Below are 15,719 nucleotides of genomic sequence, written 5' to 3' on the forward strand. Positions count from 1 at the left end.
GTTAAATCAAGAACAGAATCCCATTTATGGTAGCGACAAAGAAAATGAAATAACTAGGAATACAGCTAACAAAGGATGTGAAAGATCTCTACAAGAGCTACAAAACACTGCAGAAGGAAATCAGATAACACAATTAAATGGAAACACATTCCATGCTCATGGATTGGAAGAATCAGTATCATTCAAATGGCCACACTGCTCAAAGCAATTGACAGATTCAGTGCTATTTCTATCAAACTACCAATGTCATTCTTCACAGAATTAGAAAAAAGTATTCTAAAAGTCATATGAAACCAAAAGATGGCCTCAACAGCCTGAGCAAATCTAAGCAGAAGGGCAAAGCCAGAGGCTTCAAACTGTAAGGCTATAGTATCCAAAACAGCATGGTACTGGTACAAAAGCAGACATATAGACCAATGGAACAGAACAGAAAACCCCGAATAAAGCCTTACACTTACAACCACCTGATATTGCAAGCTGACAAAAACAAGCAATGGGGAAAGGACTCCCTATTCAATAAATGGTGTTGGGGTAACTGGCTAGCAATATGCAGAATAATGATACTCGACCCATACCTTTCATCATATACAAAAATTAACCGGAGATAGATTAAATATTTAAATGTAAGACCTCAAGTGATAAAAATCCTAGAAGAAAACCTCAGAAATACCCTTCTTGACATTGGCCTTGGGAAAGAATTTTTAACTAAGTCCCCAAAAGCAGTTGCAATAACAACAAAGATTGACAAGTGGGACCTAATAAAGGTAAAGCGCTTTGGCACAGCAAGAGAAATGATCGACAGAGCAAACAGATAACCCACAGAACAGGAGGAAACATTTGGAAACTATGCATCCAACAAAGGTCTAATATCCAGAATCTATAAGGAACTTACACAAATCCACACGCAGAAACCAAATAACCCCATTAAAAATGTGGAAAGAACATGACACATACTTCTCAAAAGAAGACATACAAGTGACCAATGAGCATCTGAAAAAATGCTTCACATCACGGATTGTCAGAGAAGTGCACATCAAAATCACAGTGAGATACCCTCTCACACTAGTCAGAATGGCGATTAATAAAAAGTCAAAAACAACAGATGCTGGCAAGGCTGCAGAGAAAAGGGAACGTTTATACATTGTTGGTGGGAGTGTAAATTAGTTCAGCCACTGTGGAAAGCAGTCTGGAGATTTCTCAAAGAGCTTAAAACGAGCTACCATTCAACCCAGTAATCCCATTATTGGATATATACCCAATGGAAAAAAGACCATTCTACCAAAAGACACACACACTGATATGTTCATTGCTGTGCTATTCACAATAGTAAAGATACGGAATCAACCTAGGTGCCCATCAGTGGTGGATTGGATAAAGCAAATGTGGTACATATACACGATGGAATTCTACGCAGCCATAAAAATGAGCAAAATCATGTCTTTTGCAGCAACATAGATGGAGCTGGAGGCCATTATCCTAAGCAAATTAATGCAGGAACAGAAAACCAAATACCACATATTCTCACTTATGAGAGCTAAACAACAGGTATCCTTGAACATAAGGTTGGGAACAATAGACACTGTGGACTACTAGAGGGGGTGGAGGGAGAGGGCTGCGGGTTGAAAAACTACCTATTGGGTACTATGCTCTCTACCAGGGTGCAATATACTGATGTAACAAACTTGCACACATACCCCCTATATTTAAAATTAAAGCTAAAATTTTAAGACATGAGTATCATTCTGATCTAAGTTTCTTGAGTTCTTCAAAGAATCATTCATTTTGCATTCTAAGAAAGCAATACCCAAAGAGGCCTTAAATGAGTTTTCTTTGAATAAGCGAAAGCAGAATAGTGTGACAACTCATAATTTCCAGAAATTTTGGTGGGTCTTGGAGGTCTGGGGAAGAGAAACCTTACTGGTAATCTCTATTTCAAAAAGGGAAATTCTTAAAATAAAAAAGGGGGTTTCCTTCCTTCCTGTATTTCTGGTACTGAAAAAGACAGATCTTAATCTTCACTGAGCCAGCTAAGTATTTTCCTCCCTATTCACCTAAACCCAGGACATAATCTGCCCTCTGTAGATTATGGCTGTGTGAATTTTAAAGGAAATAGTGTAACCTATGTTGTGCCTACACATGTTTCTGTCATATGAATGGCAGGGCGTAATATTAACATGAAAGGAATTTGAAAGCATGTTCTATGATCTTTTCCTCAAAGGGGGAGCCAGGTCAGGGGGAGTAAAGGAAAAAGGCCTTAGCTGGGCTGCTGCATGGGCAGTCGGAACGTTTTTGGAATATTTAGAGGAGAAAAAATCACCTGCAGCGAGGTGGCTCACCAGCCTAGTGGGGCTCTTGGCTCCTGGCAGGTTGCTGCCTTCCGTGCCCACCATGGCTCAGGGCTCTACTCTCATCTGTGCCACTCTGGTACCCACAGCCATTATAGCAAGTATTTTTCTATTTCCACTCAAAAATTAAAAAGCTCTCTGGCAAACTCCCGACATTGAGCTGCTGATGTGAGTGGTCCCAGCGGTTAGTGTGTTGGTTAGAAAGTTGCTATGCCAGACAGGTTTGCCCTGGACTCTCAAACCCTGTATTTTCATGAACTGCTTCTTTTTTTAGTCCTTTCTGTAGAGTGCCAGGTTTTTCAGGAATGAGTATATCGTGTTTTAGCAGTGACACTTTTCTTATTAGTTGTTATCTTTCATCTTGGTCTAGATTGTTGAGGGCCTTGCCAATAAAAGGAAAATCATTCAAATAAGAATAATTTCAATAAAGCCAAGATAGAAGGTTTTCAAGGACAATCATGGCCTGAAGATACAGTGGCAATAAAGGTATTTTGAATAAAGTAACACCCACGGACTGGGCATGGTGGCTCATGCCTTAATACCAGCACTTTGGGAGACTGAGGCAGGCAGATTGCTTGAGTTCAGGAATTTGAGCTCAGCCTGGGCAACAACAGCAAAACCTCGTCTCTACTGAAAATACAAAAAAATTAGCTGGGTGTGCTGGCATGCGCCTATAGTCCCAGCTACTCGGGAGGCTGAGGTGGGAGAATCACCTGAGCCTGGGAGGTTGAGGCTGCAGTGAACCAAGATCACACCACTGCACTCCAGTCTCGACAACCAGAGTGAGATGCTGTCTCAAAAAATAAAAAATACAAATAAAAAATTTGTTAAAAAAAAAAGTAGCACCCAGCACCAAAGAGGAAATAATAATGATTTTCTGTAGACATAAGGCTAACCAGTGTTTATAACGCAAAGATAACCTCCCTTCAGAGTCCCCCCAAGCTTAGGTGAAGTTGGTTGTGAGCAGGAGTAGTGAATTTCAAAATAATACACCTAGATTAAGAATATTTGACTTCACTTACAATTTTATACAAAAGCAGAAGTTACCAAAGATTACTTATCTTCATATTTACCACAGTCTTCTTACCCCAACCCCCATGTCTGTGTGTAATTAAAGGAAGCTTGTCAAGTAAGCTACCTATTTAATGCTCGGAATGAAAGAGAGTGTGTGTTGGGAGTTGGGGAACTGCTTATGTGAAACATTTCTCTCTTCTGGATTTAAAACTTAGTCTTGGTTGCCAATCTGTTAACAGACTGTTTGTAAATGAAGGGGAAGAAAAATATATAAATTAGCTTTCTAATAAATCTGAAATTACAAATGTGAACCAAAGCAGGGAATAAATACTTGACCAAAAATATGTAAGTAAGTGGGTGTTGGGGAATCACAATTTTTAAATATCTCAAGTTTTTGCCATGAAAGTTCTATTTCAAAGTTCTTCAAAATGATGCCTGATGTTCCTGCATACTGTGTTCCAAATTTATGTAAATACAAGATGGAAAGTGTGTGAAGTATGTGCCTTCAAAAAAGAAGAAAAACACTGACATTTTATCTATATATATTTAATAGATTTATGAAGAACATATATAAACATATATAAATATAGATGCATCATCAAGGAAGACTTAGGACACATGAACATGTGGCAGGGGTTGGAAAGAACATAATTCTTTCCCAGAAGGGGAAGGGGGAGCTATACTTAGTCGGATCCAGCTACAACATCATTGGAAGTCATTTCTCGCCAAAAAGTATCTCCACAGCAAATTCTGGTGGATAAATTTTCCATGCTTTTTGTTTATGTGGATTATCCAATTCATTTCTTGGTAGACAAAGCCTAAGAATAGAAAAAAAAAATTACATTTTATATTGGGGCTCACCAAAAAGCCACGCAGTTGGGTACCCACGTTAGAGCTGGAAGAAACAAAAAAAAACCTCACCATGAATAGAACCCCAGACCCTTTTTTGCATTTCAGTTGGCTCCTTCCACCTTTTTAGTGAGACTTAAAAATACTTTAATCTTCAGCAACACATCAGTAACACATGCTGACTCTCTTAGCATTGCTTTATATGGAATTAATGACATCCAAGTTTAATAAAATATCTAAATTTCTCTCTGTGACAGAAATCAGTCAGGATAGACATGAATGAAAACCCAGGAATAAAATACTATATCTCTTTTAATTTATGTGTGAAGTTGCAATTTTTTGAATTTTTACAATCAGACCTTGGAAATGACCTTGAGCAGTAGGCTATAACTCCCATATGCTTAGCGTTCCAATAATGGAACACTAGGCATAAATTGGTTAACCCATTTATGCCTGGTGTTCTAAATGATAGAAGTTAGCATTTTTGGCTAAACAACAATCTCATAACTAACAAAAACAGCTTTACCAAGTAGTATGTAAATTTAAATGTTACAGAAATCTTTAGAAATTTATATAAAAGTAAGAATAAAAGTGATCTAGCTTATCACTTCTCCAAAATGAACGCAGTGTTTTAAAGGAAAAAAACGGTATCCTTTAGCAAGAACCACTTTTGAGGAGCAGCATCAAATGAAGCTCCACCCAGGTCTCACTTTTTGAGGGACTTTGCTCATGTTAGAAGAAAAAGCTTATTGTTTGTATGCATCTAAAAAAAATACTTGTAAAAAATTTCCATCAAATCCAAAGTTGACTCTATCAAAATCCATTAAATGTTTTGCATTGCAAGTGTGTAGACCAGAGGTTTAATTTCCTGTTGCCTTGCTGGACTTAAGGAGTTATTCGATCCAGTTCACGTTTGAAGAAAAGATTAGGACTGGATGTAACAATAACTATCAATTCATGCCACATATAATCATAGCCACTTCTTCAACTCTGACCTAAATCATTTAAAAAATATTTTGTCCTTTTGTATTGAAGAGTATGGTTGATACAAAAAAAAATCTCAATTTTTCACCATCACAAAACAAATGCTACTTATAGTGGAGAACTTCTAGACTGAGAAATGTGGTTCCAAATATGGCAGGTTTTTTTGGAACAATAATCTCCAAACCCAATTAGTAATTTTTCAGAAAGTTTTCCCAATTCAGTTATTAGAAAGCCACATTTGAATGGCTATTTAAATAGACTATTACTTAATGATATTTCTTAGCTGTATTCCTTAATACTGTGTCTTGTAACTTCTCCCAGATATAAGTGTGTCCGTCAGCTTTTCAGCTAGCTGAAGCCTCCCTAGGTCCTGCCTTACTTTAGCACAAAAGTTGATGGTGGTTCGTCATTGGTAAATCAGCACCTACTGACAGGGACCTGACATACTGAAGGTGCTGAGCAGACTCATATTGAACTTCTCTGGGAGGAATTTACTACCAAACTTAAGATCTGATGATAATACTTTTGAACTCATAACACAGTCCTATGGCATGGACCCTGAGGATACTGCAACAGTGGGTCTCAAGAACAAATGTATTTTTAAAATAACCAAAGTAAGAGGAGTAAGGCAAGGAAAAATGGTGGCTCAGGGATTTTTTGCTTTCTATAAATTAAGTTTATGACAACCAGCAAAAGACTTGCCATTACACCTTATTTATAGACATTGAAGATTAGGCTGTTTCTATGGGTTTCTATTATATTCATACCTGTTATTTTGAATAAAAGACGTGTTGAACCAGAAGAAAAATGGACAATTGTCATAGTATTTAGGAAGATTCTAAAAAGAAAAAAAATTTCAAAGTAAAACTGACACCAGGAACTAATCATTCCAAAGAAATTAAAGTTCCTTTCTTTATTCCTTTATATATTTATCAAACAATTATAACCATTAAATAGGTAGCACTCTGCAATCTATAACAATACACTCAAGACACAAAGGAGGAGGCTTTAAGAAAATGCTATTGCATTCTCTTGCTGTTTCTATCAAAATTTTCAAGGAATAGTGTTTTTCCCATGATAGGTCTTTAATTTAAATGCTGCTATTTGAATCTGGTTTAGATAGTGCCAAACAGATGCTACTAAGGACCTATGCCTATATATACCCAACTACATTGTAGTGAATTCTTATAATTTTTTTGTTGCCTCAGCATCCCTTTTAATTATAAATTGTATTTTCTGATCTCAGAAGCGGGGTTCAGTCACCCTCAGCAGTTTCCAGTTCACCTCCTCCCAGTTTCTCCATGTGACTGATCCTGATATCTGCCTTATACAACCTTCTCCTGATGACCACTTCACTATGGGACAGCTAGATATAACCTACTTGACTCATCCCACAGACCCCCATACTCCGCAGGGACCATGTGGATATATCAGTGACCACCTCTCAGTCACAGCAGAGACTCATGGCTGCTTGCGTTAAACCAAATTAGACTTCCCCTCAGGAAACCTGCTCAGGTAGCACCTTACATCCCAATAAAGGCTTCCACTCTCAGGTCCCTCCCTCTCTCTCGCTATTGCTCCCACCCATCAGTCGAGCACAGGTCTCCTGGATGGCTCCCCCTTCCAGTTGGCCCTGTGTGCTGCCCTCTTCTCTCTGGAATTAATAAAAAACTGCTTTGGTTATTTCGTGTGTTGTATTGTGCTGCCTTCTCTGTTTCACCCAACTGAGTCACCCAAACCTAACTCTTTCTAGTCAGTGCTCCCAGCTACTCGGGAGGCTGAGGTGGGAGGATTGCTTGAGCCCAGGAGGGTGAAGCTACAGTTAGCTATGATCACGCCACTGCACTCCAGCCTGGGTGACAGAGTGAGACCCTGTCTCAACTTCTTAATTTTTTAAAAAAGATGCAAAACAAAATGTAATCATTGCTATGCAGTAAAACGTACCTTTGGGTTTTTTTTTTTTTAGCATCTTGGCTTTTACTTTTTTTGTGTTTATTTTGTATTTTTTGTATTTGAGAATACAGGTAAATTTAGAAAAATTTAGAAAATTTACAATTTAGAAAAAAACAAATGAACACAAATTATTTAAATTACATACGCTCTTTTAAAAAAATTTGTTATAGATCTGATTTATTGTTTTCCTCCCCCTCCCCCTCCCTTGTTGGGAATTGTAGTAAAGCAAATCTGAAATAAAATCATTAGACCAGACAAGAACAATGGCAGAGGCTATTTTGTGATTACTCACCGAAGAGAAAAACTGCACTTTCACATCATCATACAGAGGTGGACCGTCATATACATTAATTAATATTTTGTCTGTTTCAATGTCATGCAATATCTATGAATGAACACATGGAATTGAGAACTACAAACCTAGATAACGATAACAAAAGTTCCTTTTCACTTATCATGACTTCCTGTATTTATCAAGTACTTTTGCTCTCACAGCCCAATCACTACATGCATAAATAATTATTAATAATCTTTTCTAGTTGCAATACTGTTGTTTATGTGTGTGTGTGTTTTCATTTGTTTTTTGTTTTTTGAGACAGAGTCTCACTGTCACCCAGGCTGGAGTGCAGTGGCGTGATCTCGGCTCATGGCAACCTCTGCCTCCCAGGTTCAAGTGATTCTTGTGCCTCAGCCTCCCAAGTAGCTGGGACTATAGGCACAAGCCATCACACCCAGCTAATTTTTGAATTTTTAGTAGAGATGGGGTTTCACTGTATTAGCCAGGCTGGTCTCAAACTCCTGGCTTCAAGTGATCTGCCCGCCTGGGCCTCCCAAAGTGCTGGATTACAGGCATGAGCCACTGCACCCGGCCTGTTGTTTATGTCTTTTAAAGGCCAACATGTTTAGGGTTATCATGAACCACTTTTCTTTTTTTTTCTTTTCTTTTCTTTTTTTTTTTTTTTTTTTTTTTGAGACAGAGTCTCACTCTGTCACCAGGCTGGAGTACAGTGGCATGATCTCGGCTCACTGCCAACTTCTGCCTCCCAGGTTCAGCTGATTCTCCAGCCTCAGCCTCCCAAGTAGCTGGGACTACAGGCACGTGCCACCATGCCCAGCTAATTTTTGTATTTTTAGTGGAGACGGGGTTTCACCATGTTGGCCAGAATGGTCTCGATCTCTTGACCTCATGATCCACCCACCCTGGCCTCCCGAAGTGCTGGGATTACAGGCATGAGCCACCGTGCCCGGCCGTGAGGCACTTTTCAAAAGTGCTGCACTTTTAAAAAGTATTGAATTTTCCATTAGACTTTAATCAATTAAATATTATTATTTAATGTGTCTCATTTGATTTTCATGTGTTAGGGCCTTTTTTGAGAATACATTAAGAAGCTCAATTTTAAAGCTAGCATTGACATTCAAAAAGCAATGCATAACTTATCATGGTTTTTTATTTTCTAAATTTAAAAAATAACAACAGGGGTCTGTAACACTTGGGGGTTGGGCCTGCATGCTCCTCCCAAGGGAGGGGGAGAGTGGGGTCCCCCTGCTCATCATGTTTTATCAGAACTCTTGTGTTTGTCAATGGGATCTTTGAACTTGACCAGTGCAGGCTGCAGGATGGAGTGACCAAAGATAGCTCAAGTTTTGGAATGAATGACTTTGAAGCCGTACTAGTTCTTTGACTCATTCTCATAGAAATAATGGCACCCACAATAAGAAAGGTCTATGCTAGGCCCTGTGAAAAACACAAAAGGAGGTGCAGACTCAGTTGGCCCCTTCAGGGAGCTGTACATTTAAGAAACAATAGTAGAATGGTACATAACTCAATCTGTATGACAAAGACTGGGTGTGCTGTTATGTACTACTGGGGGCTAGTTAACAGAAGGTGCAGAATGCAAAAATTTCATTAAGGAGGTAGAAATTGAATTGGGCATGAAGCAGTTTAGATAAAGGAAGAAGAGCTCTGAAAAAAGAATTTAGTCCAAACGGAGAGAAAAAGACGAGCAATAACACAAAGTAGAAATTAGAAAAATGGGCCAGGTGCGGTGGCTCAAGCCTGTAATCCCAGCACTTTGGGAGGTTGAGGTGGGCAGATCACCTGAGGTCGGGAGTTTGAGACCAGCCTGACCAACATGGAGAAACCCCGTCTCTACTAATAATACAAAATTAGCCAGGTGTGGTAGCACATGCCTGTAATCCCAGCTACTTGGGAGGCGGAGGCAGGAGAATCGCTTGAACCCAGGAGGCAGAGGTTGTGGTGAGCTGAGATTGTGACAGTGCACTCCAGCCTGAGTAACAAGAGCAAAACTCCATCTCAGAAAAAAAAGAAAAGAAAAAGAAAAAACTTGGAAAAACAACAACAAACAATGTCGGGCAGTGTGGTTCATGTTTATAATCCCAGCATGTTGCAAGGCTGAGGTGGACAGGCTGCTTGAGCCCAGGAGTCTGAGACCAGCCTGGGCAACATAGCAAGTCCCAGGCTCTACAAAAAATAAAAAAAATTAGGGGATTGCTTGAGCTCAGGAGGTTGAGGCTACAGTGAGCCATGATCATGCCACTGCACTACAGCCTGGGTGACAGAATGAGACCCTGGCTCAGGAAAAAAAAAAAGGAAAGGAAGAAATAACCAACTAACTAACTAACTAAATTAGAGTTGTGTTCCAAGAGCCAAAAGGGATGACCCAGTTTATTTGGAATGAAGTCTGCTGGTCAAGCTACTGATGGAAAAAAGCTCAGGTATTATGTTAGGGCTATTACATCTTCAGAGCTCGAGCCAAGGAAATAAGAGAGAAGTTGTTGAAAAATATGGTGGGGCATTTCCTATGTGACAAAGAGGCCTGATAATTATCACATATAACACTTATTTAGTGATTTATAGTTCACAAAGAAACTTCATATATATTATCTAATTGAATTCCCATTACACTTGGATGTGTTATTTATTTTACAGATAAAGATGTTGAGACAAAGGTGTTAACTGGCTCTGACCATGGGCACACAGTGTGTCTTCTGCTCTACCTACAATTTTTCACAATGAGAGGAATATTTCAGGATGCATAGTTCAGGATTCTATACATTGCATTATAGAAGGAGAAAGAAAGGGTAAGGAGACCACTGCAGAAATCTACGCTGAGCAAAGGAGATTCTGGACAATTAGTGGCAGTGAGAACAGAAAGGAAGGAGAACATAGAAAACTGTCAAAGGCATAATCAACAGAGATGGATGACTAACTGGATTTAGGGGGCTGAGGCAAAGAGAATCAAAGCCCAAGGCGTGAGTGGAAGAATGCTGGTGCCATTTGCAGAGGCAGAGAGAAAGCTCCTTGATAACTGAGACTGGCGAATGCATTTGAGTTGGAGTGGAAACTGTTCATGTTGTAGCTCCTGCATCTACCACTCAGTGGGTGCTCATAAATAGCTGTTCAGTAAATGAACAAATAATAGTTGAAGTAAGGGGAATGGGTCATTCTTTAAGAATAAAGCATTTGCTAAGAACAGAAAGCCAAGGGTCAGGCCTGGGTGAATGCCCTCAGTTGGGAGAGGCCAAAAAAGCCGGGGGCAGAGTCGGGAGGGGGTGGCAGGGAACAGGGTTAGTAATAGGAGAATTTGAGACAAAGGCCTGGGTAGGAATTCTAAAATTTAGGGTTATTAGACCATGAAGGATGCTTTCTTACTGTTTCAGAAAAGGTATATAGTTTTAGGCATTTCTTCATTGTAGCAAAACATTGACTACCAGGTCCCTTTTGCTTTGGATAAAGAGGTTCCTCCCCAGTTCATTCACCCTTGCGTTGTTTCTCACAGGGTCATCCCACAGAACGTCTGACTTAGAATCACTTGGGACATTGCTAAGTCTATAGATTCCTGGGCCCCATTCCAGATTTCCCGAATCATACTTTGGGGGTACAACCTAGGAATGTAAATCTTTACAAGCTCCTCAGTGGTTTTCATGCACACTAAACTTTTAGAATCAGTGCTATATAATAAAAGATCAAATGACTGAGAAGAAGAGAATATGGCTAAAAATGACCAGATATGTAAATTAAAATCCTTAATACATTCCTGGGAACATGCTCAGCATTTGTGGAAGTGTGAAAGGCAAAGCAACACTGACCAGAAATACATTCTGGAAAGCACCCTGAAAAAACTGTTTTGAACAAACAGGTTAATTTATCTCTGGTTTGCATCCAAACCCAGTGACACCAAGTTGTATGGTAACCAGAAAGCGTTATGGAATCTCTTTATGGTGAGTGATAGTTTATGGAGGTGAACATTGCTGGTTTGACATTCAGCCTTAAAACAAACATCAGATTTTTTCAATTCACATGTTTTCTCTTACCGAACAATTTCCTAATGAAGTACTGGAAAAGACAACCTTTTTCTCCATTACTACTTGGACTTTTAGATCACATACATCACCTGTTCCAACAAAATGAAATTAAAAAGTTAGGTTGGTTAGCATGAAGATCAATATGTCTCACCACTTAACATCATGGATTAAAAAGAGAAAAAATTATCCAAGCTAACAACGTATCAATAGTTACTTATTTGGTCTTGCATGGATTTTGTCTTTGAAAGACAAGGCTTCAAGCCCATTTCTGTCTCCTAAAGCAGATTTTATAAGATGAGAGAAGAGAAAAGAATACATATAGTTCAGCTTCCAAGACTTAGAATCCCATCACTTTATCTTTCCAGAAAAAATATTTAGGGAAGCTAGGCCGGGCATGGTGGCTCACACCTGTAATCCTAGCACTTTGGGAGGGCGAGGTGGGTGGATTACTTGAGGTCAGGAGTTCTAAACCAGCGTGGCCAAGATGGTGAAACCCCATCTCTACTAAAAATACAAAAATTAGCCAGGCGTGGTGGCACATGCCTGTAATCCTAGCTACTTGGGAGGCTGAGACAGGAGAATTGCTTGAACCCGGGAGGCAGAGGCTGCAGTGAGCTGAGATCACACCACTGCACTCCAGCCTGGGTGACAGAACATGACTCTGTCTCCAAAAAAAAAAAAAGAAAAAGAAAAAGAAAAAAAATTCAGGAAAGGTGACTTGCAACCTTTCTTGCTAATATGTTGCTTTCTTCAGACTTCTAATCATAATGATTCTTAATAATAAATACTGTCATTTAACTACTTTGGCCCTACTTTAAGGCCAGTTCCTGATGCAATCTCTATAAAAATATAGGATAGTTATATCCAAAAATTCCTGTGGTGTTCAGTATATATTTACAGACAAAGGCTCTTCTGTTCCTTTTTTTCAATTCAAATGACCCACTTCCCTTAGCGTTTCCTCAAAGACTTGGTTTCTCAGCCAATTAATTTTTTATTGCTTTCCTCTCAATTCTACATTAATTTTAATTTAAATATTCACAAAACTAAGTAGAGAATTAAAACAAATATTTTAATAAACTAGTGTATTAATTATCTTTGATTGTTCATCTCATATGCTGTTTGTTTTCATTTAATTTTGTTTTCACTAACACCATGATATTCATTTGTCATTAGAAATCACAGTTTCTTGCCTCAGTTCCCTCTTTCCCATTCCAGGTGCAGAACTTCCTTCTATTGATGTCTACCAGAAATCAGTGAAATGTAGAACTAAACTCAGAAGGCTAAAAATACTAGGCTGTCTGTGTGGACACCAGCATCCTGGCCCCATGGCACCTATAGCACCCAGCACTGGCACCATCTCAGGTCCACAAGCTGGCTGCTAGAAGAGGTTTGCTTTAGGGGTTCCGAAGCATCGCCTCCCTGCTACCTCTCTGGCAGTGGGAGTGGTGAGGCCCCATTCCTTCCACACAGACACATCCTGCTTTCCCGCCTCCCCTGAGTGTAAGCTGGGAGTGAGAGGGTTACAGATGGAGGAGAGAGGGGAAAGGGAGAGCCCAGGGTGATGAGAAAAAAATATGCCTCTAAAAGAAGGTGAGAAAATGATACGATACGGAGACACCTCCACCAAGGCAAACTCTGAACTAGAGGTGGTTCTGAGAAATAAGCAGGCTTGAGGGCACATGGGTCCTCCTCCTCCCTCATCAGAGGCTCCCTCTGCCCGGAAAAGTCCACCTGGGTTGAGACCGGAGGAGCAATGAGAACAGGAGAGATGGGTAGGGGATGAAGTCCCCCAAATTGGTGATGGAAAAGAAAAAGTGAAGAACATCTCAGGGCTGGCAATCAATGGGCAATTGCAGGAGGAGCGGCATAAATAAGGAGGAGTTCCTGTGTGAGGATATGTAAAAAGACAGGTATGAGTTAGGATCATCTGTATATACGACTATGAGCAAAACCCTCCCAGAGTGGGGACATTGGCCCTCCTGCCCAATTCTTCAATTACACATAAAGCACTTACCACGAATCGAATAAATAATGAATCTTTTTATAAAGAGTATCCGTCTTGGAGGGAGATTCCAGTTGTAGAGATGTTTCACTTGTGCAAAATATCCAACATATCTATTCTGAAAAGCAACAGAAATCTTCCTTTAAGTGGAGATGAAAAGTCTAAAGTCAGCATTCCTTTTTTTTTTTTTTTTTGCATAAAGCTTGTTAATGGAGGTAAGTAATTAAGAAAACATTTACTGGATGCCATTATATAACTGGACATTTTTAGGGATGCTGCCCCACAACTATCTACCTTGAGGGAAAAATACTGAATTCAGTGCAATGGGGAAGTAACAAGGATGGAGCCAGGCCCTGTTTATAGGCTGCTTATGGTTGAGAGGGCAACTAATCAGAAGCACAACAAAACAGTTACAGCATCATCAGTGTCCAGACAGAAGCTTAGTTGTGACTGAGTTAGAGGAAGGCTTGTGGTTTGGTGAAGAGCAGCTTCCTGGACATGAGAGAATGGTATAAGTGAAAACTCCAGAGGAATACCTCCAAACCTCAGTAGCAGGTTTCCCGTCACTCTTCTCTTGTTCCTGACAGCTAGAATTTCTTCACTTTGCATTTCCTCAATTCTGTTTTCTCAAGGAGGCCCTGGAATTCTCTCAGCCTTGTCCTTTCCCTGGGGCAAGCTGTTCACAACGGCTCTCCCCTGAATCTTTCTTCAAGGTATTGAAGAGCTCTGGTACTCAATCAACTGGTTCAGAATTCAAAAGTTGGCCATCATGGTGGCTCCCGCCTGTAATCCCAGCACTTTGGGAGGCCGAGGTGGGCAGATCACTGGGCGTCAGGAGTTTGAGACCAGCCTCGCCAACAGGGTGAAACCCTGTCTCTACTAAAAGTACAAAAATAGGCCATGCGTAGTGATGGGCACCTATAATCCCAGCACTCGGGAGGCTGAGGCAGGAGAATCGCTTGAACCCAAGAGGTCGAGGTTGCAGTGAGCTGAGATTGCACCACTGCACTCTAGTCTGGGTGACAGAGCGAGACTCTGTCTCAAAAATTAAAAACAAAACAAAACAAAGCAAAACTCATAAGTTCACAGACTGTTCCTTACCCATTGGGAAATGTTCATTAAAGTAACTAACTGCCATACTTCCCTTTAGAAAGGGCCAGTCATGAGACAGGTTCATGAAAGTCCTTAACTTAGGAGTAGATGTAGTCAGTAGAATGGCCCACAATGCAGGATCAGAATGTGATGGTGTCTGAGAATCACCACCAGACATAGAGGGCACTCTGTCCTGAGGTCTTGCCAACACAGCTCTCAAACATGCAGCTGAGTCCCTGTGTTGCTTTTTCGGTGAATCAGAAGAGATTCAGTTGCAGCCTTTGGTGTGCTGGTTCTGGACTAAAGTTAGGGAAACTATGCATGACTGCAGAAGAAATGGGGATGGGGAGATGTGTGGGGACAGTTGTTGAAGGAGCTCCATCTAGCATCCCCTTAGTTTCTGCCACTAGATTCTCCACCTTTCCCTAAGGGCTGTAAACCACCAGGGCCCTCAAGCTACTTGTGCTCCCACGCTTCCTTCTCCTACAACTTAAAACAACATGGACTTGTAGTAGAAATTAATACAACCAACACATAGGAGGCACTCACTACAAACAAAGAAAATATTATGAGAAAAGGGTGGAAAGATGGGTAAGCCACGGGCTTTGCCTTTAAAGGGGATACAGAAGTCACCACTTCAAATAACTAGAGAATGATGCAAAGTGACGTAGTCCCTAAAAGAAACACAAAGGGCTCTAAGAATTAAAAAAGCAAGAGACTACTTCAGGCTGAGAAGGGAAAGGGACTCTAGGAAAAGGGGCATGAGCAATGGCATGAGGGTATCAAGTGTCCATAGGCTGGGAAAGAGCGCACAGTCTAAATGTGTTGGAGTATGGGATGTGTGCATGCACATAGTGGAAGAGAAGGTTGGAAAAGTCAAAGTGTGGCTCTTGAGTGCCAGGTTGAAACGTTTAGTTTATTGCCATTGGCAGTGGGGACATAGTATGGATTTTGAGCATGGAAATGGCATGTTTAGGGCTGCACTTCAGTAAATTCACCTATCACTTTTAGCTTAGGGTCTATGACTATCTTTGTTTTGTTTTGTTTTGTTTTGTTTGGGGCTTGGGTGTGGGAGAAAAGTAGCAGTGGATAAGGGTGAGTTCTTCTGGCCCAAACTAAAGGTTTAGGGCCGGTAGTTAGAGTGTTCTTCTAAC

The 15,719-nt window shown here is 40.3% G+C and overlaps 1 protein-coding gene across 8 annotated transcripts in view; it reads right to left on the reverse strand.

Annotated features, from left to right (window-relative positions):
• Positions 1-3,889: 3,889 nt before the first annotated feature.
• The window catches only part of TPTE2 (transmembrane phosphoinositide 3-phosphatase and tensin homolog 2), a 138,698-nt gene continuing 126,868 nt past the window's right edge, over positions 3,890-15,719 (reverse strand). For 6 of the 8 annotated variants that reach the window (NR_073487.2, NM_001395978.1, NM_130785.4 and 3 more), the window contains 5 exons: positions 13,486-13,591; positions 11,481-11,560; positions 7,438-7,530; positions 5,960-6,030; positions 3,890-4,177 (listed from right to left, as the gene is read on the reverse strand). Coding sequence is in view for 5 of the 8 variants with exons in the window: in NM_001395978.1 (NP_001382907.1) it covers positions 4,075-4,177; positions 5,960-6,030; positions 7,438-7,530; positions 11,481-11,560; positions 13,486-13,591 (453 nt within the window). In the remaining 3 variants the exon portion in view is untranslated. Of the gene's footprint in view, positions 4,178-5,959; positions 6,031-6,719; positions 6,847-7,437; positions 7,531-11,480; positions 11,561-13,485; positions 13,592-15,719 lie in introns of all 8 variants that reach the window. The other 2 variants (NR_073485.2, NR_073486.1) reach the window with 2 other exon arrangements.

The sequence above is a fragment of the Homo sapiens genome, chromosome 13 (genome assembly GCF_000001405.40).
Source record: "Homo sapiens chromosome 13, GRCh38.p14 Primary Assembly".
Lineage (NCBI taxonomy): Eukaryota > Metazoa > Chordata > Mammalia > Primates > Hominidae > Homo > Homo sapiens.